The 20631-nt window shown below is 53.1% G+C and overlaps 3 protein-coding genes across 11 annotated transcripts, besides 12 other annotated features; 2 read left to right on the top strand and 1 right to left on the bottom strand.

The window, feature by feature from the left end:
- The first annotated feature begins 790 nt into the window (after positions 1-790).
- CLDN7 (claudin 7) lies at positions 791-4101 on the top strand. Of its 3 annotated transcripts, NM_001185022.2 has the most exons (5): positions 791-845; positions 1661-2183; positions 3019-3183; positions 3278-3362; positions 3468-4101. In NM_001185022.2, exons 2-5 carry the CDS (start codon positions 1961-1963, stop codon positions 3628-3630), a joined length of 636 nt encoding a protein of 211 aa, NP_001171951.1. In that variant the 5' UTR covers positions 791-845; positions 1661-1960; the 3' UTR covers positions 3631-4101. The 3 variants fall into 3 exon arrangements, with proteins under 3 accessions (NP_001171951.1, NP_001298.3, NP_001171952.1); NM_001307.6 differs by lacking the exon at positions 791-845 and having other exon boundaries at positions 1526-2183; NM_001185023.2 differs by lacking the exons at positions 791-845; positions 3278-3362 and having other exon boundaries at positions 1526-2183.
- Positions 1280-1574: an enhancer, noted in NCBI's record as "tiled region #7888; HepG2 Activating non-DNase unmatched - State 10:DNaseD". NCBI's record gives its function as "activates a minimal TATA promoter and a strong SV40 promoter by Sharpr-MPRA in HepG2 cells {active_cell/tissue: HepG2}" and the evidence as "EXISTENCE:reporter gene assay evidence [ECO:0000049][PMID:27701403]".
- Positions 1723-2686: an enhancer, noted in NCBI's record as "NANOG-H3K27ac-H3K4me1 hESC enhancer chr17:7164637-7165600 (GRCh37/hg19 assembly coordinates)". NCBI's record gives its function as "activates a minimal SCP1, AML or CMV promoter by ChIP-STARR-seq in naive H9 embryonic stem cells {active_cell/tissue: H9 hESC(naive)}" and the evidence as "EXISTENCE:reporter gene assay evidence [ECO:0000049][PMID:30033119]".
- Positions 2488-2577: a silencer, noted in NCBI's record as "silent region_8099". NCBI's record gives its function as "represses an Ori minimal core promoter by ATAC-STARR-seq in GM12878 lymphoblastoid cells {active_cell/tissue: GM12878}" and the evidence as "EXISTENCE:reporter gene assay evidence [ECO:0000049][PMID:35858748]".
- Positions 2758-2887: a silencer, noted in NCBI's record as "silent region_8098". NCBI's record gives its function as "represses an Ori minimal core promoter by ATAC-STARR-seq in GM12878 lymphoblastoid cells {active_cell/tissue: GM12878}" and the evidence as "EXISTENCE:reporter gene assay evidence [ECO:0000049][PMID:35858748]".
- Positions 3088-3137: an enhancer, noted in NCBI's record as "active region_11607". NCBI's record gives its function as "activates an Ori minimal core promoter by ATAC-STARR-seq in GM12878 lymphoblastoid cells {active_cell/tissue: GM12878}" and the evidence as "EXISTENCE:reporter gene assay evidence [ECO:0000049][PMID:35858748]".
- Positions 4064-12280, bottom strand: ELP5 (elongator acetyltransferase complex subunit 5). 6 transcript variants are annotated; one of them, NM_203415.4, is made up of 9 exons: positions 11922-12280; positions 11408-11578; positions 11174-11234; positions 11006-11086; positions 9201-9421; positions 6966-7147; positions 5321-5416; positions 5078-5178; positions 4067-4433 (listed from the first exon to the last, which is right to left on the bottom strand). In NM_203415.4, the coding sequence occupies exons 2-9, from the start codon at positions 11451-11453 to the stop codon at positions 4319-4321; spliced, it is 903 nt and encodes a 300-aa protein (NP_981960.2). In that variant the 5' UTR covers positions 11454-11578; positions 11922-12280; the 3' UTR covers positions 4067-4318. The 6 variants fall into 6 exon arrangements, 5 of the variants coding, with proteins under 5 accessions (NP_981960.2, XP_011522081.1, NP_056177.4 ...); XM_011523779.3 differs by lacking the exon at positions 11922-12280 and adding an exon at positions 11659-11789; NM_015362.5 differs by lacking the exon at positions 11922-12280 and adding an exon at positions 11667-11789.
- Positions 11133-11372: a silencer, noted in NCBI's record as "silent region_8097". NCBI's record gives its function as "represses an Ori minimal core promoter by ATAC-STARR-seq in GM12878 lymphoblastoid cells {active_cell/tissue: GM12878}" and the evidence as "EXISTENCE:reporter gene assay evidence [ECO:0000049][PMID:35858748]".
- Positions 11403-11622: an enhancer, noted in NCBI's record as "active region_11606". NCBI's record gives its function as "activates an Ori minimal core promoter by ATAC-STARR-seq in GM12878 lymphoblastoid cells {active_cell/tissue: GM12878}" and the evidence as "EXISTENCE:reporter gene assay evidence [ECO:0000049][PMID:35858748]".
- Positions 11403-12079: a biological region, named in NCBI's record as "H3K27ac hESC enhancer GRCh37_chr17:7155244-7155832".
- Positions 11491-12079: an enhancer, noted in NCBI's record as "H3K27ac hESC enhancer chr17:7155244-7155832 (GRCh37/hg19 assembly coordinates)". NCBI's record gives its function as "activates a minimal SCP1, AML or CMV promoter by ChIP-STARR-seq in primed H9 embryonic stem cells {active_cell/tissue: H9 hESC(primed)}" and the evidence as "EXISTENCE:reporter gene assay evidence [ECO:0000049][PMID:30033119]".
- Positions 12026-20413, top strand: CTDNEP1 (CTD nuclear envelope phosphatase 1). Of its 2 annotated transcripts, NM_015343.5 has the most exons (9): positions 12026-12205; positions 12403-12809; positions 16661-16727; positions 16822-16940; positions 17142-17213; positions 17634-17750; positions 17867-17978; positions 19369-19453; positions 19759-20413. In NM_015343.5, exons 2-9 carry the CDS (start codon positions 12708-12710, stop codon positions 19817-19819), a joined length of 735 nt encoding a protein of 244 aa, NP_056158.2. In that variant the 5' UTR covers positions 12026-12205; positions 12403-12707; the 3' UTR covers positions 19820-20413. The 2 variants fall into 2 exon arrangements, with proteins under 2 accessions (NP_056158.2, NP_001137247.1); NM_001143775.2 differs by lacking the exon at positions 12026-12205 and having other exon boundaries at positions 12270-12809.
- Positions 12080-12667: an enhancer, noted in NCBI's record as "H3K27ac hESC enhancer chr17:7154656-7155243 (GRCh37/hg19 assembly coordinates)". NCBI's record gives its function as "activates a minimal SCP1, AML or CMV promoter by ChIP-STARR-seq in primed H9 embryonic stem cells {active_cell/tissue: H9 hESC(primed)}" and the evidence as "EXISTENCE:reporter gene assay evidence [ECO:0000049][PMID:30033119]".
- Positions 12143-12352: a silencer, noted in NCBI's record as "silent region_8096". NCBI's record gives its function as "represses an Ori minimal core promoter by ATAC-STARR-seq in GM12878 lymphoblastoid cells {active_cell/tissue: GM12878}" and the evidence as "EXISTENCE:reporter gene assay evidence [ECO:0000049][PMID:35858748]".
- Positions 12423-12542: a silencer, noted in NCBI's record as "silent region_8095". NCBI's record gives its function as "represses an Ori minimal core promoter by ATAC-STARR-seq in GM12878 lymphoblastoid cells {active_cell/tissue: GM12878}" and the evidence as "EXISTENCE:reporter gene assay evidence [ECO:0000049][PMID:35858748]".
- Positions 20414-20631: the final 218 nt, after the last annotated feature.

Here is a 20631-nt window from a genome sequence, read left to right as displayed (position 1 = left end):
TGTGCACCTAAGAAGAGGAAAGAAAGATTAATTGCTGATGCTGGGTTCCAAGGAGACTGGAGACAAGGCGCAAAGGTAAACGAAAAGACAAGGAGTGGGCTGGGTGCGGTGGCTCACGCCTGTAATCCTGCACTTTAGGAGGTGGGGGCAGGGGGATTGCTTCAGTTCAAGTGTTCAAGACCAGCCTGAGCAACATGGTGAAAACCCTTCTCTACCAAAAATACAAAAACTTTAGCTGGGCGTGGTGGTGTGCACCCGCGGTCCCAGCTACTGGGGACGCTGAGGCGGGGTGATCGCTTGAGCCCAGGAGGCGAGGCTGCAGTGAGCCGAGATTGCACCTCTGCACTCCAGCCTGGGTAACACAGACTTCCTCCTCTCAAACAACAACAAAAAAAAGACAAGGAGTGAAACAGGAAGCTCCAAAGCAGGAAAGGCAGGAAGGGGAGATGACCAAAGATGAAGGAGGAAGGAGCAAAAGGCTGGAAGGGGTGCCGGGAGGAAGGAGGGAGCAATGCTTTGGGGAGAGATAGCAGGACTGCAGGGTGAGGGACCATGGACGACCACCTTAGAGAGCCAGATTATAGGGAGGACGGAACAGTGAGGCGTGACAGAGTGCACAGCAATTGGCAGTCCAAGCCCAGGCCCGGGAGGGAAAGAGAAACGGGCGAGTGTGGGGGAGGGGTGGGAAAGGTGGAGGATAGGTCTGAAAAGACTCTAAGGGAGGGGAACGATGGGTGTGGCCAAGACTCTGACCTAGCCCTCACCCTGCTCCCCACCCTCGGCCGGCTTTAGGTCCCAGTGGTTTCTTCCTCCAGTTAGGAGCCTTGATGCCGGAGGGGACAGTGGTAGGTGGGGAGGTTGAGTGCAAAGGGTTCAGGCTGTAAGTCATGTTGGGTTGGAATGGGGGCACAGGAAGGTGGGGCTGTTGGGGAGCCACGCTAAGCCGGGTGTCTGTAGCAGAGCCAGAGAACCGGGACACTGAAGAGGGTGCTGAAGGGGGCGACTCTCAGGGATCGAGCCAGGGCCCCCGAAGGTGGGATCGACCAGGGTAGGAGACAGGAAAAAAAAGGAGAGCAGCGGGTGGGGGCGAAAGCAGGGCCGAGGAGAGAGCACTTTGGACAGAACCCGGCGGGGAAAGGGCGGCGCCGAGGCTTGTCAGGGGCGCCCCGCAGCGTCCCAGGCGCACCTGTTGGGAAGAAAGGAAGGGGCTTCCCGGTGTTCGAGGGAAATCCAGTCCGGAGGGGCTGACTCGGAGCTTGGGACTCCTGGGGAGCCACCGCCTCCTCCCCAGCGGCGGTCAAAACCGGGCAAGCGAAGGGGCGTGACCCTGGTGCTCAGGTTTCTTCCTCCTCACCTGGGCAAGGAGGGGTGGGGGCCACGACTTCCGGTTCAGGTGAGTGTCCCTTCGGTGACGTCAGGTCATCCTCGGCCGCCCCTCCGGTCCCGCCTCCCCCTCCCGCGCTCCCGGGGCGCGCGGGCCGCGCCCCCGACGCCCTACATATACTCAGGTGCGCCCCACCTGTCCGCCCGCACCTGCTGGCTCACCTCCGAGCCACCTCTGCTGCGCACCGCAGCCTCGGACCTACAGCCCAGGATACTTTGGGACTTGCCGGCGCTCAGAAACGCGCCCAGACGGCCCCTCCACCTTTTGTTTGCCTAGGGTCGCCGAGAGCGCCCGGAGGGAACCGCCTGGCCTTCGGGGACCACCAATTTTGTCTGGAACCACCCTCCCGGCGTATCCTACTCCCTGTGCCGCGAGGCCATCGCTTCACTGGAGGGGTCGATTTGTGTGTAGTTTGGTGACAAGATTTGCATTCACCTGGCCCAAACCCTTTTTGTCTCTTTGGGTGACCGGAAAACTCCACCTCAAGTTTTCTTTTGTGGGGCTGCCCCCCAAGTGTCGTTTGTTTTACTGTAGGGTCTCCCCGCCCGGCGCCCCCAGTGTTTTCTGAGGGCGGAAATGGCCAATTCGGGCCTGCAGTTGCTGGGCTTCTCCATGGCCCTGCTGGGCTGGGTGGGTCTGGTGGCCTGCACCGCCATCCCGCAGTGGCAGATGAGCTCCTATGCGGGTGACAACATCATCACGGCCCAGGCCATGTACAAGGGGCTGTGGATGGACTGCGTCACGCAGAGCACGGGGATGATGAGCTGCAAAATGTACGACTCGGTGCTCGCCCTGTCCGGTAAGGCCGCGGGACCGACGGGGCGGACGCGCCCTTGACCGAGGTGGCGGGGTGGCGCGCGTGGGAGAGCCGAGGCCCCACGGCTGGGGGCCCTGGGTTGCCGGGGAGCTGCAGGGCGAGGAAGTGGTCGGCTGGGGGCGGCGGGGCTGGGCGGGAGCGGGCCGGGGTTCCGGCGGCTGCACGTGGGCGCGCACCTCGGTCGCCCACGTTCCTCTTCCTCCCCCAACCCAGCCTCGTCCCCGGCTCGGAGCAGCGGTGCTTAGGCCGGGGCCATCCCCTCCTCCATTCCCGGGCAGGCCATGGCCTCCGTCATCTCCCGTCCTTTTCTCAGACAGAAACGGCCCCGGGGCGCGGGGCACGGGGCGCGCCGAGGGCCGAAGGGCGGTGCGGCTGGTCAGAGTGGGCCGCCGCCTGCTGCCTCTAATCTTATCGGCCGATTAGCCGAAGCCACAAACCCGGTGGCCTCGATAGCGGGCTCAGAGCAGGGACGCCGGCTGGCATGTGCGCCGCGCGGGGCTTCGGACCACCGTCTCGGCTTCTCTTCGCTGCACCCTTTCACCCTTCCCCCTATCCAGGGCAGTTTCACCGAAACCCCGGCGCCCCGGGCGGATCCTTGAGCGGAGAGGGCGGGGCGGGAGCAGGAAGGCCGCGCTGTCGGGAGGGGCGGGGACCTGCCCGCTTGGCCCAGGTCTTGGACACCTGGGCGCCCCTGGCCCTCGGCAGAACACGGCGCCGGACAGAAGAGGTCCAGCGGTTAGTGGGCGCGGCCGGCGGCACGAAGGCTGGAGCCGCCTGCATTTCCAGCAATGACGGCGCCCTTTCCCCTCGCCCGCAGCGGCCTTGCAGGCCACTCGAGCCCTAATGGTGGTCTCCCTGGTGCTGGGCTTCCTGGCCATGTTTGTGGCCACGATGGGCATGAAGTGCACGCGCTGTGGGGGAGACGACAAAGTGAAGAAGGCCCGTATAGCCATGGGTGGAGGCATAATTTTCATCGTGGCAGGTGAGCCCCCGGGTTCTCCCATCTGGGAGGAGCAAGGCTGGGCAAGGCGCCCATTTGGGGCCTCACTATACTGAAACCCTCATTCTGTCTCCAGGTCTTGCCGCCTTGGTAGCTTGCTCCTGGTATGGCCATCAGATTGTCACAGACTTTTATAACCCTTTGATCCCTACCAACATTAAGTAAGTCTGGGAACCCTGCCTCCTAAGGGGACAGGTCTGGGGTCCTGGAATAGGGAGGAGGGCAGAGGCACGCCAGGGTTTCTAACCACCCCCTTCTCTTCACAGGTATGAGTTTGGCCCTGCCATCTTTATTGGCTGGGCAGGGTCTGCCCTAGTCATCCTGGGAGGTGCACTGCTCTCCTGTTCCTGTCCTGGGAATGAGAGCAAGGCTGGGTACCGTGTACCCCGCTCTTACCCTAAGTCCAACTCTTCCAAGGAGTATGTGTGACCTGGGATCTCCTTGCCCCAGCCTGACAGGCTATGGGAGTGTCTAGATGCCTGAAAGGGCCTGGGGCTGAGCTCAGCCTGTGGGCAGGGTGCCGGACAAAGGCCTCCTGGTCACTCTGTCCCTGCACTCCATGTATAGTCCTCTTGGGTTGGGGGTGGGGGGGTGCCGTTGGTGGGAGAGACAAAAAGAGGGAGAGTGTGCTTTTTGTACAGTAATAAAAAATAAGTATTGGGAAGCAGGCTTTTTTCCCTTCAGGGCCTCTGCTTTCCTCCCGTCCAGATCCTTGCAGGGAGCTTGGAACCTTAGTGCACCTACTTCAGTTCAGAACACTTAGCACCCCACTGACTCCACTGACAATTGACTAAAAGATGCAGGTGCTCGTATCTCGACATTCATTCCCACCCCCCTCTTATTTAAATAGCTACCAAAGTACTTCTTTTTTAATAAAAAAATAAAGATTTTTATTAGGTACGGGGGTGTTCTACTCTCTCACATTACCCCATGTCTTCATCCTACCTTCTGTCCTGATGAGACGCTGCTTCCTGGCTCACAAGGCGGGGCTCCATAGACAAGGGGAACCAAGGTGGGGCAGGGACAGGGTAAGGCTAACACAAACAATAGAAAGATGGTTCTGGGCCCAAAGTCTTCCCGCGCCCCCTCCAATTACAATCTAATCAAATCTGGCCAGTCAAATATCCAGGTCGTCATCTGGGTCTTCTTGGTCCAGGTCATCATAAGCATCTGGCTCATAGAAGATGTGGCTGGTAGCCTGCCCTGGCCTAGGCCGCAGGAGAGCCTGCTGTCTGAGAAGGGAAGATTTGGTGCTGGTGAGGGTAGCTAACAGGTTGGGTCTGGATACTTTCTTCCAGGTGACTGTGACTCTCATTCAGGCAACCTGTTAGGCCTCCATGTCATTTTATTGGTCCAAGTCCCTTTCTCTGACCTCCATGTTAGAGCTGAAGCACCATTTGGTACTGGGATAGATACCCTTGTACTGCTCTCCTAATAAAACCGTAAGTTCCTAGCAGCTTGAGGGCAAGGATCTTGTAGTCTTGCGTCATCCGCCCACATACTGGGCACAGAACAGCAAGCGTGTACTAAGCCCTTGTTAACCAGCCTCTGCCACGCCCATATAGCCTTCTGTCCTCCTAGCACCACTGCCTAGGGATAGGGCCACCTCCCAAGGGTCTGGTCTGGCTCAGCCCAGGCCCAGGGTGCTCTGGGGACAACTGGAGCTGTGACCCAAGGGTATAAGGGAGAGAAAAGAGACATAAAGGTCCTCTGCCATTATAGGGGGAATGGGTGGATCAAGAACTTGGACTTGTCTCTGGAGGTGGACTTCAGTCCCTATAAAGTCAGGTTAATCAATAACCTGTTGCCCCAACCTCTCCATGGCCCAGATGCTGGGATCTACTCAGGGATCCACGTACCCAGGTCCCAACCTTACTTTTCAGAACTGAACTGGAAGGGCAGGATCAGGCTATCTCTGGCTTCTCTCTCTTTCTTGGACAGGTGAAGGTTAAAGGTCAAATGAGTTGTGGGATCCACCTGTAGGTACAAAGGATGCTGCCACTCTGCCCCATCCCTAGAATCCCTGACCCCACCCCCAACCTCTGCAGCTTTTATTTTCTCTCCCGTGACCAGATACTAAACTACATTTCCTTGTTCTGGCCTTGGCATTCTTAGATACCGGGGGTATATGAGGATCGGAGTAGGGCTGGGACTCTACAGAGGGCCCCTCTTGGAGATCCAGGCTGAAGTCCGGAAGGATGGAGAACCACTGAGTCTGGAGAGAAAAAAGAAAAGAGTTTTTTTCATCTTACTGAAGAAACTAGACAGACTCCAGGACCTCACATCCTCAGCCCCCAATCACCTATTTAACTGACTGCTTTCAGCTCCTGCCCTCAACTTTTTTTTTTTTTTTTGAGACAGGGTCTGGCTTTGTTGCCCAGGCTGGAGTACAGTGGCGTGATCTTAGCTCACTGCAACCTCCGCCTCCCAGGTTCAAGTGATTCTCCTGCCTCAGCCTCCCGAGTAGCTGGGATTACAGGCACGTGCTACCACACCCAGCTAATTTTTGTCTTTTTAGTAGAGATGGGGTTTTGCTATATTGGCCAGGCTGGTCTCAAACCACTAACCTCAGGTGATCTGCCCACTTCGGCCTCCCAAAATGCTGGGATTACAGGTGTAAGCCACTGCGCCCAGCCTCTATTTTATTTTCAAAAGTGAAAGCAAGTTGATTAAGGAAGTAAAGGAATAAAAGGATGGCGACTCCTTAGGCAGAGCAGCCCACTTACTCCTTTTTTGAGACGGAGTCTCACTCTGTTGCCCAGGCTGGAGTGTAGTGGCATGATCTCGGCTCACCTCAACCTCCGCCTCCCAGGTTCAAGTGATTCTCCCACCTCAGCCTCCCGAATAGCTGGGACTACAGGCACCCACCACTATGCCCAGCTAATTTTTGTATTTTTAGTAGAGATGAGATTTCACCATGTTAGCCAGGCCGGTCTCGAACTCCTGACCTCACAATCTGCCCACCTCGGCCCCCCAAAGTGCTGGGATTATGGGCCTGAGCCACCTCGCCTGGGCCCCACTTACACTTTATAACCTTGGTAAGTGACTTAAATTTAAACCTCCTTGGGCCGGGTGCAGTGGATCACACCTGTAATCCCAGCACTTTGGGAGACCAAGGCCAGAGGATGGCTTGAGCCTAGTTATTCAAGACCAGCCTGGGCAACAGGGTGAGATCTCATCTGTATAAAAAACTAAAAAGCTGGCTGGATGTGGTGCTACATGCCTGTGCTCCCACCTCCAGCTACACCAGAGGCTGAGGCAGGAGGATCACTTGAACATGGGAGGTCAAAGCTGCCGTAAGTTATGATTGCACCACAGCACTCCAGCCTGGGCAACAGTGAGACCTTGTCCAATAAAAAAAAAAAAAAAAACTCCAAGGGAATAAAACCCTCCCTGGACTGGCTTTCCAGCCTGAAAAATGGTGATAATAAAACAATCTACCTTAACCATAGCTGAGAGGATTAAATGAAGTGAGTGATAGAAAACAGAGAAATACCTAAATCAGCTTTTTTTAAAAAAAGGTCTCACTGAGGGCTGGGCACAGTGGCTCACGTCTGTAATCCTAGCACTTTGGGAGGCTGAGGTGGAAGGATCACTTGAGCCCAGAAGTTTGAGACCACCCTGACCAACACAGTGAAACCCCATCTCTAAAAAAGTTTGTTTTTAAAGTCTCCTTGAAACATCAGCATTTTCATTGTTCTTCCCATCGTGCCACCCCTTTCTCTGTCCCCCGTTTCCAGTCCTTCTCTGTTGGTTCTTCTGACCTGGTCAGTTGGGCGCTGTCGGGGCCTCCGACACAGGATGTGGGCCGAGGCCTGGCCCATGGTACCGCCCAGGGTCACCTCAGTCTGAGCAAGGCTGCTGAGAGCTCCCACAGGGCCTGGTCCATGAAGCTCTTCATGTAGCAAGCCCAGCACACTCACTTTCCCCACTGAGGAGCTGTCACCTAGAGGAGGACAAGAAATGTAGGATAGTAGGGAGCATTCAGGTTGGTGGCCTGGGAGCTAACAGTGAAGAAGAGAGAGCCTCACAATTCCATCACAGTGCTGCCAAAATCCTGACGTCCCTTGGCCAATCTCACTACCGTGCTCTGAGCCTCCTCCAGCCCACACCTTAATCTCCTCTATCATCCCAATGTAAAGCTGATCAAGGCACCGCTCTAACTTCTATTCTTCAGCAGCTCCTGCCTTCAGGATGGAACGAACGCTTCCAGCAGGTGGTGTCCACTTACTTTCCAGCCTCATCTCTTACACACGGAAGTACTTGTAGTTTCTGGAACTTCCCAAGATCTCAGTCAGTGCCTTCAATTCTCTGCCTCCCTTTTTGGGAGCATTTAGAGAGTGTCAGGTACTATGCTAAACGCTTTAACACAATGTTTGAATCCTTACAAAGGTCAGCGTTTTTAGGTCAAACTGTATGAAATCACTGACATTTAACAATTTTTTTTTCTTTTCTTTTTCGAGATGGAGTCTTGCTCTGTCGCCCAGGCTAGAGTGCAGTGGCGCAATCTTGGCTTACTGCAACCCCTGCTACGGGCTCAACAATACTGCCTCAGTCTCCTGAGTAGCTGGGACTACAGGCGCGTGCCACCACGCCTGGCTAATTTTTGTATTTGGTAGAGACGGGGTTTCAGCATCTTGGCCAGGCTGGTCTTGAACTCCTGACCTCGTGATCTACCTGTCTTGGCCTCCCAAAATGCTGGGATTACAGGCATGAGCCTCTGCGCCCGGACTGTTTTTATTTTTTTGAGATGACGTCTTTCTCTGTCACCCAGGCTGCAGTACGGTGGCGTGATCTCAGCTCACTGCAACCTCTGCCTCCTGGGTTCAAGTGATTCTCCTGCCTCAGCCTCCCGAGTAGCTGGGATTACAGGCGTGCACCACCACACCCAGCTAATTTTTTGTATTTTTAGTAGAGACAGGGTTTCACCATGTTGGCCAGGCTGGTCTCCAACTCCAGGTGATCCGCCCGCCTTGGCCTCCCCAAGTGCTGGGATTACAGGCATGAGCCACTGCGCCCAGACAATATTTAACAACTTTTAACCTAAGAAATGGCAATATAGTGGTTCATCCTAATACTTCCCTTGTACCTTCCCCCATATACAGGGGAAAGTGAAGCAATGAGAGATCAAGCACCTTAATACAAAGCTGGGCGTCTGACTCCTAAGTCCATTCGAGTACCCACAGTGCACTTCAAGGCTAGTCTCAGTGCCCCTGCCCGGCCAAATTTGCCTGGATGACCTCTTGCTCTTCAAGAGAGTGCCTTTTTTTTTTTTTGAGATGGAGTCTTGCTCTGTCGCCCAGGCTGGAGTGCAGTGGCCCATCTCAGCTCACTGCAAGCTCCACCTCCCGGGTTCACGCCATTCTCCTGCCTCAGCCTCCCGGGTAGCTGGGACTAGAGGTGCCCGCCACCAAGCCCGGCTAATTTTTTTTTGTATTTTTAGTAGAGACGGGGTTTCACCATGTTAGCCAGGATGGTCTCGATCTCCTGACCTTGTGATCTACCCACCTCGGCCTCCCAAAGTGCTAGGATTACAGGAGTGAGCCACCGCGCCCGGCCAAGAGTGCCCTTCTTTAAGGTGCCCTGTGCATGCCTGTATCATCATGGCCTTTATCAGACCATCTTGTAACTGCCTGTTTACTTATCTCCATCTTTTATGGGACTTCGAGCTCCTGGAAGGCAAGGACCCAGCTACAGTCAGTCTGTATTTTGCCATTATCTAGAATTGTACCTGACACATTGTATATATTTACTATTGATTTGTTAAATGAATGAATGAGTGAAACAAATGAGTAAAAAAATAACTTGGAGAAAAAAAAGCAAATGGTAGATGGCATTAAGGAGAAGTAAAAAAAAAAAAAAACAGACAAAAAAGTCAAAAAAATGAAAAAAGGTCTGACTGGAGAACCCAGATGTTTATTCTAGGGTAGAAAGGAAAAGGGGCACACTCCTTGGCAGAGGGAGATGTATGAGGGGAAACAATGAAGGAGGGGTCTCACCAGGACAAGAGTCCTGATGGCTCACAGCATGCAGGACCTGGCAGAGTGTGGTGCAGGGAAGGCGAAGTAGCAGCCAGCTGAGTGAATCGAGAGCAATGGTGACAGGAACAGGATCTGTCCTCTTGCACATGGCTCTCAAGGCTCCCAGCGGCCCCCCAGGAAAGGCCTCCTCAGTTTTTGACCAGTTGAGAGGGTCTCTGAAGAAGTCATGGTAAACCAGCCTGCAAAGGGAAAATAAGACACAATATAATATTGCCCCTTCCCCCGAGAGGATCACAAAGTTCATCCTCTGATCTTTATGGCTGTTTTCTCAATTTTTATGAATATCCTAAATATTAGTGAAAGATAATTACTGAGAGAGAGCATACAGTGATTGAGAGCACAGACTTTGGTGTCTGACAGCCTGATCTCCAAGCTTGGCTTTGCTACTTGCCCAAGGTCAGCTAACTGATACATTATTTCTAAGAGTTGCCTCATTGGTGAAATGAGATGCCAACCTCTAAGCATTCAGCACAGTGCTTGACACATAGTATATGCCTGATAAATGTTAGTTATCACCATTATCAAATATTTCCTGTGTGTGGCACCTAAAGATTATCACCCTGGGTGAAAAAAGAGAAAGCAGAGGACGTGAGATTTGGTCCTGCCTGTAGAACAGCTTAAAGAAAGTCAAGAATTAAGTCAAGAAGTAACAACTACAGAAAAAACAGCTCAGGAAAGGGAGACTGGCATAGGTAGCAGAACTTTTTTTCCCAGATATCTCTTTTCTATCTTCTCTTGTGGAGTGCCCGCTTTTTTTTTTTTTTTTGAGACAGAGTTTCGCTCGTTGCCCAGGCTGGAGTGCAATGGCGTGATCTCCGCTCACTGCAACCTCTGCCTCCTGGGTTCAAGCGATTCTCCTGCCTCAGCCTCCTGAGTAGCTGGAATTACAGGCATGTGCCACCATGCCCAGGTAATTTTTTGTATTTTTAGTAGAGATGGGGTTTCTCCATGTTGGTCAGGCTGGTCTCGAACTCCAGACCTCAGGTGATCCACCCGCCTCAGCCTCCCAAAGTGCTGGGATTACAGGCGTGAGCCACCGCGCCCAGCCATGGAATGCCATCTGAACATACACCACCGCCTCTATCACAACAATGGCTGATGCAAAATTGGAGGCTCAACAGATAAGATGTAAACTACTATTATCATCCACTGAGTTGCCGGGACTAGGAAGTAGAAAGCATCCTACTAATGGTTCTTAATGTCTCCTGATCAGGCATGCCGCTGGGTTTAGGAACTTCCTTATCTCAATACTTTCTTCTCCCCCATATTAGTCAATAAATCCTGGAAATTCTACCCACTAAAGTCCTTTACATGTGTTCTAAACTTTCCATCTCTACTGCCACTGCCTTAAACCAGGCCTCTATCACTTCCTACCATTATTCCCTAAAATTCATTAGGTCAGGAACAGGTCTCACTCACTGCCGTCTCCAGTATCTTGCACAGCACCTGGTTGATAGTTGGTGCTCGGTACATATGTACCTTAAAGAGTGAAGCCGGATTAACGGATTACTGCAATACCCTTCCCACATGTTCTCCCTATTTCCAGGCTATTTCTCTCTCGACTTCTATGATCTTTGCTTTGGACTCCCCAAATACTCATCACTCCTCTTATTAATTCTTGCCTCCTGAAAGATCCATATCCAATTCTTCAATGAATATTTAAGGAACTGCTACTACATACCAGGTTCTGCGCTTGTTGTAAAGAAATTTCCTTAGCATTATAGGTCTCAAATTTAATCAAATCTCTTCCAACTGGTACTTACCGATTGTTGATATCAGAGTCAAAACCTTCACGAAACTCTTCCTCGCTCACTTCACAGCCCAGGATATGCACTTGCTCCCCACTAAGGCAGAGATGAGAAGGGATTGTCAAAGAGTGGGCACAGGTGCCCTATCCAGGGTAGGCCGGGGAGACACTGTGGGATACTCACCACAGTGCAGATTTCTTGACAAGCGCCTTCAAGAGACTGCGCCCCTCCCACTCCACGGAATCTGCAGAGCGAGGGACGGATAAAGGGTATGAGAGCGCTGGGATTACCGCCTTCGCGAACCCGTCGCGATTTCCACACCTAGCCTGTGACCCCTGGCCCTTCCTGCCCACTTCCGTCCCCTCAGCCAGGCCCGAACCGCACCCCCCGCCCCGCCACCGTGCCTCTGGCTCTCACCCCGAAGCAGCACCAGGCCGCCCAAGGCCAACAGCGAGTCCAACATCTCCAACTCGCGTCCGGTCCCTGCTCTGGCGCCCTCTGATGGCGTCATGACCCAGTGTCCTTCCTCCTCGGGGTGAAACGGGCCGAGCACTCGGGCGTCCTCCCACCATTAAGACCTAACATAGTCTGGAATGAGAGGTGATTATGTTCAATATTCCCAGGGGGGCGCTCACGCGGAGGGCGCCCCTCCCCGAGCCCTGGCGCACAGTCGTACGGACAACGACCCCGTCTACATTTTCACTGTGACCGGGGCGGGAAGAGCAGTTGGGGCAGTTGTCAGTGGGAGGGGGAGGAGGACCCACAAGCCCCCCGCGAGGGCCCTAAGCGCGGGCCAAGTGACGTCACTCTCCCCGCCCACGCAGTTTGAGGCGGGGCCTGCTTCGCCTCAGGCCCCGCCCCGCGGCCACCTTCTGCGCGTGCGCAATACTGCAGCCTCGCTTGGAGTGCTTTTGGCTTTCCTTATACCTACCCGCCATAGACCGCGCAGGAGGAACTTAGTCCCGGTGAAGCGAATACACGTCACCACCGGAAGTAGTGTCAAAGGGGAAGAGGAGGGGGAAAGACAGGAAGAGGGAGTCCTTTGGACGGTAAAATGGCGCCTGTCAGAGTGGGAAACCCAGCTGCAGAGGCTGCAGCCCCGGTCCCCAGCGGCTAAAGGACCCCCGAGCTCGGGGAGGGGGAGGCCGCTCCGGCCCAGCGCTCTGCGCCCTCCGGCTCCCCCTCCCCCTCCTTCCCTGCTCCTTCGCTCTGCAGGCCCGTTCTCCGCTGCCGCGGCCCTTTGCGCGCCGCTGCCCCCGCCCTCCCCGTTCCTGCGAGCAGCCCCCTAGCGCGCCTGCGCAGCGGGCCACTCTCTGCTTTCCCCCCCTCCCCTTCCCTTTTCCCTTCCTCCCTTTTCCCTAGCCCCCTCCCCCACTGCCCCCTCCCCCAATTATCCTTCCCCTTCCCTCCAGGTCTCGGAGGACCCCATCCTAGCCCTACCTGTCTCGGCCCGCAACCTCCCCGAAGCCGTCGGTGCCACTCCCAGCCCATGTGGGCCCCCGCGGGCTGCCCACGCCTGTCCCCCAGCTCCCCGTTCCGCTGGGCTTTACCCTCGCCAGGGGTGGCTTTCTGAGCCGCCCGCTCCGTGCCCCTCTCTGCAGCCTCTCCTGCCACTCGGGGCCCCCGTTCCCCCTCCCGGCGGCGGGGGGCTGCCCCCGGGGGGCTGGCGGAGCTGGGCCGCGGGGGCCCCGGGGCCGGCGGTGCCGGGGTCATCGGGATGATGCGGACGCAGTGTCTGCTGGGGCTGCGCACGTTCGTGGCCTTCGCCGCCAAGCTCTGGAGCTTCTTCATTTACCTTCTGCGGAGGCAGATCCGCACGGTGAGCCAGGGTGGGCGCTGGCGGTGTTGGGGACGTCTGGCGGTGTTGGGGACATCTGTCCGTGGTGCTCAGGGGTTTTCGGAGTGTCGGGCCTCTGTTTGGGCCTAGGAAGGGAATCCTGGCTGGGGCTTTTCTCGCCAGAGAATTGGGCACCCTAAGCGGGGCGAGGTGGGAGACCCTTGTAATAGAACCTTGCCCTTGGGGGTTTTGATGGGGCTAGATGGGACAGGATTTGGCAACTCTTGGGGGCTAAGGTGGTGGGTGGGGCGCTCTTTAAGAAAGCTGGAGTTGTTGCTAAAGAAACCAAGAGGCGGGGAACACCTGTTTGATGACAGCCGGATCTGTGGATGTGGGCTTGGGAAAGACCCTATTTGGAACCTCGGTGTGTGTTTGGTCCTATAACAAGGAAGAGACAGACTTGTGTGTCAAGGGTGGAGGTGGGTGGGAGGGCATACGTTACAAACAAGGACGGGAACTTGGGAAAGCCCTGGGTGTGAAGGAGAAACGCCTGCGGTTCCCATTAAGAGAATTCCTCCAAAAAGGCTGTGAAAATTTATTTCATAGTGTGAGTGTAGGTATCTGGATTTATTGAAGACTAAAGCAGATGCTTTTACGATGGGCCTCTTTAATTGTGGGAGGGAGTTCAAGGTGGGTGCTGTGCCCACCATTGAAGTTTGGGTGTCCCTGTCAGAGGACAGCGCTGGGCAGTTGTAGGGCTTGAAAATGAGGACGTTTGCTTCTCCAGGAGAGCCTAGCATTCTGAGGGAAACTGTCCGGATGGACCCAAGCATCTCTGGGTCCCCTCTCCCTTAGCTTTTCTCCAAGGTCAGAGGTCCTTCAGCTAACAGCACTTTAAATGAATGTGCTCTTGTGGTCTCACCACCACCAGGGAGAATCCTCGGAAGGAGTCTGGGGAGAATTTAGTAAGCGGAGACACAGGTTCTGGGTCTGTACTGTGGTCTGTACCCCTTAGCATACCTCAATACAATTTGAAAGAATAAACCCAGGTTGGGGTGACCTGGGGTCCAGAGAATTTCCAGAAAGCCCTCAGTGGTAGTGGTGGTTGATTTAACTGATTTGGGAGAATGGGTCTGGCCTTGGGTTCATTCTGTCCTTTACCAGTCTGCTTCCACTTCCTGATTTAGGGCGCGAACAGTACAGGATGGTTGTGGCTGTAGGCAGCAGCGCTATTCCCCCGAGACAAGAGCTAGGAGCCAAGAAAAATTTAGGGTCAGAGATGCTGGGATATGTGTGGGGCTATCTCCTGGGGTTTTCTTTTCTTTTCTGAGACAGTCTCGCTTTGTCGCCCAGGCTGGAGTGCAGTGGTGCCATCTCCGCTCACTGCAACCTCCACTTCCTGGGTTCAAGCGATTCTCCTGCTTCAGCCTCTCGAATAGCTGGGATTACAGGCACCTGCCACCACACCTGGCTAATTTTTGTAATTTTAGTAGAAACGGGTTTTCACCATGTTGGCCAGGATGGTCTCAAACTCCTGACCTCAAGTGATCTGCCCGCCTTGGCCTCACAAAAGTACTGGGATTGAGCCACTGCACCCGGCCTCCAGCGGTTTTCTTTATGGGTTGACTGCCATCTTCTCTGACGTTCTCGCTCCAACACATCAGTTTTCTGGGCATACGGAGTGGTGCTTCAGCTCATCCACAGGTTACTTCCAAAATTGCTCTCCTTTGGGCAGCACTGACCCCATAGCCTTTTGTCCTCCCTTCCCTTCCAATCTGGTTTCTTTCCCCACCCCGCTTCTGGCAGATGCTTGGAGCATTCCCTACATGCCCAGCATATGCAACCCGAGATAGCAAGGCTGGACACTGGAGCTCTTTCGGACCTCATCATGGCCCAGGGAGAAAAGAAGGGCAGATCTTGATTAGGGGGAGAGAGCCCTGTGGGTTTAGAAGGGAGAACCTGGTTCTGGTGTGGCTTGGGGCCTAGGTATGCACTGAAGAGGGTTTGTACCTTTGAAGAAAAGTGTGGAAGAGGGAATTGCCAGGCTTTGTATGGGGAGATGTGCGTATTAGGAAATAGCCCCTAGAGAATGCTTGGAGAAGCAGAGCTGGATGAGGTGGTGACGTCCTTGTCCCTTATTCACCTCTCACTTAACGGCCCTGACTTCACTCTGGCCTCCTCCAGACCCTGCCAGTCAGCCTGGCAGGGGCTTTCCAGTGTTCTTTGCCTCACCCTGGGTACCAGGATAAGGAGACTGTTCAGAGGGCTGAGGTTCTCTGAACTTGTGACTTGGCTAGAAGGGACAGAAGTGGACAGGTGGCTGGTTAAAATAGGCCTGGTGGCTTCTAGCCAGAGGAACTTAGCTGACCTGACAACCTCTGGATTCCCTCATTCTATATTCCCATTAAGGACCCAGGGATCTCCTCCCGACTCCTACTCCATGTGCACTAGGGAATCTGAGGCACTTAGTTCCCAATGATGGTAGTTGCTACAAATAATTCTTGGGGTGAAGGTTGCGTTGTGGGGGTCGTTTCTTTGTTCAGTGTAGCAGGATAATATCACAGTTAAGAGGGCAGCTTCGGCCGGGGGTGGTGGCTCTTGCCTGTAATCCCAGCACTTTGGGAAGCTGAGGCAGGTGGATCATGAGGTCAGGAGCTCAAGACCAGCCTGGCCAATATGGTGAAACCCCGTCTCTACTAAAAATACAAAAATTAGCTGGGCGTGGTTCGCGCGCCTATAGTCCCAGCTGCTTAGGAGGCTGAGGCAGGAGAATTGCTTGAACCTGGGAGGTGGAGGTTGCAGTGAGCTGAGATCGCGCCACTGCACTCCAGCCTGGGCAATGGAGTGAGACTCCCTTCTCAAAAAAAAAAAAAAGAAAAAAAAAGAGGGCACGTTCTTGGGTTGAACTGCATTGGTACAATCCTGGCTCTATCACTTCATTGATTCTACTTTTTTTTTTTTTTTTTTTTTTTTTTTTGCGACGGAGTCTTGCTCTGTCACCAGGCTGGAGTACAGTGGTGCGATCTCGGCTCACTGCAACCTCTGCCTCCTGGGTTCAAGCCACTCTGCTGCCTCAGCCTCCCGAGTAGCTGGGGCTATGGGCACGCACCACCACGCCCAGCTAATTTTTATATTTTTAGTAGAGACGGGGTTTCACCATGTTGGCCAGGATGGTCTCCGTCTCTTGACCTTGTGATCCGCCTGCCTTGGCCTCCCAAAGTGCTGGGATTACAGGCATGAGCCACTGCGCCTGGCTGATTCTACTAATATCAACTGACCACTTTTGCTACTGTGTTCTAGGCACTGGGAATACAGCCATGATCTAGACAAAATCATATTCTCATGGAGTTTTCATTTTAATTAGGGAGAGAAACAACTTAAGATAATTCCTAGCTGTGTGGCCTCAGTTTCTTTAACCTTAAAACAGGTATAACAGTAATATTATGGTTGTTTTGAGGATTAAATGAAAAAGGCCAGCGTAGTGGCTCATTCCTGTAATCCCAGCACTTTGGGAGGCAAAGGCAGGAGGATCACAAGGTCAGGAGTTTGAGACCAGCCAGGCCAATATAGTTAAACCCCGCCTCTACTAGAAATACAAAAATGAGCCGAGCGTGGTGGTGCACGCCTGTAGTCCCAGCTATTAGGGAGGCTGAGGCAGGAGAATTGCTTGAACCTGGGAGGCGGAGGTTGCAGTGAGCCGAGATCATGCCGCTGCACTCCAGCCTGGGCAACAGAGCGAGACTCCATCTCAAAAAAAAAAAAAAAAGAAGAAGAAATAAGCCTAAATTACATACATAGTACCTGTGGTAAATGTTCATTATGTGCTCCCTGTTACTGTTACTGGGGAAGGCTTCCTTATCAAGGGTTTCAATCCTCTTTTGTGCTATTTGTAGGTAATTCAGTACCAAACTGTTCGATATGATATCCTCCCCTTATCTCCTGTGTCCCGGAATCGGCTAGGTAAGTATGTGGTGGGAAGCCTCCTTTAGGGTGAAGTAGGGGCTAGCTCTGGGTCAGAGGTCGGTCAATATTATTCCTCCCCACTCTGGTTCAGCCCAGGTGAAGAGGAAGATCCTGGTGCTGGATCTGGATGAGACACTTATTCACTCCCACCATGATGGGGTCCTGAGGCCCACAGTCCGGCCTGGTACGCCTCCTGACTTCATCCTCAAGGTGTGTGGTGGTGGGGAGTGATGAAATGGTTCCATCTGTTCCTCTGCCCAAACCTGGACTCCCTTTCCCAGTCCCAGAGCATCTGTCTCCATCCGCTGGCACCAGTGTCAGCCTGGAGGAGGGAAGCAGATGGGTGGGGCGTTTTCTAGGCCTGGGTTGTGGTGGTCATGACATCCCCCAGCCCATCTTGTTCCTCTGTAGGTGGTAATAGACAAACATCCTGTCCGGTTTTTTGTACATAAGAGGCCCCATGTGGATTTCTTCCTGGAAGTGGTGAGTTTTGGAGAGCTAAAGGGAGCTCTGTAATGAAGGAATGGTTTTAGGGCTCTGGGAATTGGGAGGATTTGGAGGAAGGGGTGAGGAGAAACGGGTTAGAGCAGTTTTCTAGAGGGGAGGCTGTGTAATGGTAGGGGAGTGGCTTTCAGTACTTGGGGTTCATTTGTTGTGCTGATGTAATTCTTTTCCGCTGGCATCTTTCTCTTTTGTTCTTGCATTTCTGAATCATAAGAGTGTAGGATGCCTAACACTGAGTTTGGAGGTTTGGGCTGGGGGTTCAGAATTTCGTGTCCTCAGAGACATTTGATGTTGATGGAAGGCCTGAAGGACTATGCCATTGCCTTTCTGAAAGATAACTGTATGTCTAAAGGAATCATCACCTTGTATGGCATCGCCCTCTCCCCCAATCTATTTCAGGTGAGCCAGTGGTACGAGCTGGTGGTGTTTACAGCAAGCATGGAGATCTATGGCTCTGCTGTGGCAGATAAACTGGACAATAGCAGAAGCATTCTTAAGAGGAGATATTACAGACAGGTAAGCTAGAATCCCAGTCTAAGAGTGTGGCTTGGGAGGGAGGCCACCAGGGAGGGATCTGGGTTTGAGGAGAGTATCCTGGAGAGAGGCCTGCTACATGATCCCCTGCCTTCCAGCACTGCACTTTGGAGTTGGGCAGCTACATCAAGGACCTCTCTGTGGTCCACAGTGACCTCTCCAGCATTGTGATCCTGGATAACTCCCCAGGGGCTTACAGGAGCCATCCAGGTACGGGGGAAGGTGGTGAGTCTGGCAGGACCAGAACATGGTTCTGAGAAGGTATTTTTGCAGGAGACCTGGGCTTTGGTCCTTGAGAGCTGGGATTCCCTAGATTATCCCTAGTTTGCTGTAAGTCGAAATGCAAGTTATTTTTGTGTTTCAAATGAGATACCATATATGTCCATTTCATAAGTCGGATTTCTTATATCATTTTTTTCATTTTTAAAATTTATTTTTGGCTGGGCACGGTGGATTATGCTTGTAATCCCAGCACTTTGGGAGGCCGAGGCAGGCGGATCACGAGGTCAGAAGTTCGAGACCAGCCTAACAAACATGGTGAAACCCCATCTCTACTAAAAATAGAAAAAACTAGCCAGGCGTGGTGGCGCACGCCTGTAATCCCAGCAACTCGGGAGGCTGAGGCAGGAGAATCGCTTGAACCCGGGAGGCGGAGGTTGCAGTGAGCCGAGATTGCACCATTGCACTCCAGCCTGGGTGACAGAGCGAGACGCCGTCTCAAAAAAAATAAATAATAAATAAATAAAAATAAAATTTATTTTTATTTATTTTTTGAGATAGGGTCTCACTCTGTTCCCAGGCTGGAGTGCAGTGTCATGATCATAGCTCACTGCAGCCTCGATCTCCCAGGCTCAAGTGATCCTTCTGCCTCAGCCTCTCAGTAGTTGGGACTACAGGCGTGCACCACCATGCCCAGCTAATTTTTTTATTTTTTATTTTTTTTTGAGACAGAGTCTCGCACTGTCACCCAGGCTGGAATGCAGTGGCGTGATCTCGGCTTACTGCAACCTCCGACTTCCAGGTTCAAGCAATTCTCCTGCCTCAGCCTCCCAAGTAGCTGGGATCACAGGCACCTGCCACCACGCGCAGCTAATTTTTTGTATTTTTAGTAGCGACGGAGTTTCACCACGTTGGCCAGGCTGGTCTTGAATTCCTGACCTCGTGATTCGTCCGCTTTGGCCTCCCAAAGTGCTGGGATTACAGGCGTAAGCCACTGCCCTTGGCCAATTTTTTGATTTTTAGTAGAGAAGGGATCTCATTATGTTGCCCAGGCTGGACTCAAACTCCTGAGCTCAAGTGATCCTCCCACCTCGGCCTCTCAAAGTGTTGGGATAACAGGTGTGAGCCACTGCGCCTGGCCAAGTGTGTTTCAAGTGAGGCACAATGGCAGTAAGCTTGACTAGAAGCATCAATAGGTATGAGATCTGGTGATTAAAACTTAGTTTCGGAGCATAAACCAGGAAAGTTTTACTTAGGTTGTTGACTTCCGGTAGTGGGAGGCATATATTTTTAACAATAATTCCTCCTTCCCTCCAAGAAGAGAAAAACACCGTCTCTCTTGAATTCTGTTTCTTCTCATCTGCATTTTCACCCACCCTAGACAATGCCATCCCCATCAAATCCTGGTTCAGTGACCCCAGCGACACAGCCCTTCTCAACCTGCTCCCAATGCTGGATGCCCTCAGGTAAGGGAAGTGGGCTCTGGACACTTGGATATCTCAAGAAAGGAGGAGGTGGGGGATCCTCAGAGGGAATAAAAAAGGTTTGTCCTGTTTTAACTCTGTTCCCTTAAGAATTTAACATTTGGACCCAGGTCGTCTTACTTCAAAGCTCATCACTTTAGCTAGTAGGCTGTGGGCAAATTGAACCTATCTAATCATGAATATGGTGATAATTTAGGTCCCACATCTCCAGTGATGCTGCCTTACAAGAGTGTTGTGAGGGTATGAACTATAAGGTACTCTACCAATGCAAGTTATTGTCACCCCAGGTTCACCGCTGATGTTCGTTCCGTGCTGAGCCGAAACCTTCACCAACATCGGCTCTGGTGACAGCTGCTCCCCCTCCACCTGAGTTGGGGTGGGGGGGAAAGGGAGGGCGAGCCCTTGGGATGCCGTCTGATGCCCTGTCCAATGTGAGGACTGCCTGGGCAGGGTCTGCCCCTCCCACCCCTCTCTGCCCTGGGAGCCCTACACTCCACTTGGAGTCTGGATGGACACATGGGCCAGGGGCTCTGAAGCAGCCTCACTCTTAACTTCGTGTTCACACTCCATGGAAACCCCAGACTGGGACACAGGCGGAAGCCTAGGAGAGCCGAATCAGTGTTTGTGAAGAGGCAGGACTGGCCAGAGTGACAGACATACGGTGATCCAGGAGGCTCAAAGAGAAGCCAAGTCAGCTTTGTTGTGATTTGATTTTTTTTAAAAAACTCTTGTACAAAACTGATCTAATTCTTCACTCCTGCTCCAAGGGCTGGGCTGTGGGTGGGATACTGGGATTTTGGGCCACTGGATTTTCCCTAAATTTGTCCCCCCTTTACTCTCCCTCTATTTTTCTCTCCTTAGACTCCCTCAGACCTGTAACCAGCTTTGTGTCTTTTTTCCTTTTCTCTCTTTTAAACCATGCATTATAACTTTGAAACCAAAGCGGCCTTAGGTCCTTCTCTGGGGTTTTGGGAAGTGAAGAGAGGGGACTTTGTTCACATGCACCCTGTCCCACAGGCAGAGGGGGAAGAGACTGCTGTTGGACTCAAGGGGCAGGGGGAAAGGTGGCGTTGAGTATAGGGATAGAATAATGCGGACACCAGATGCCTGGGATACAATAATGCTGACACCAGATGCTTTGGCGGGAAGGGCCGAGTGAC

Source organism: Homo sapiens, chromosome 17 (genome assembly GCF_000001405.40).
Source record: "Homo sapiens chromosome 17, GRCh38.p14 Primary Assembly".
NCBI lineage: Eukaryota > Metazoa > Chordata > Mammalia > Primates > Hominidae > Homo > Homo sapiens.
The sequence above is the reverse complement of the archived record's forward strand: the minus strand, read 5'-3'. Positions and strand labels throughout refer to the sequence as shown.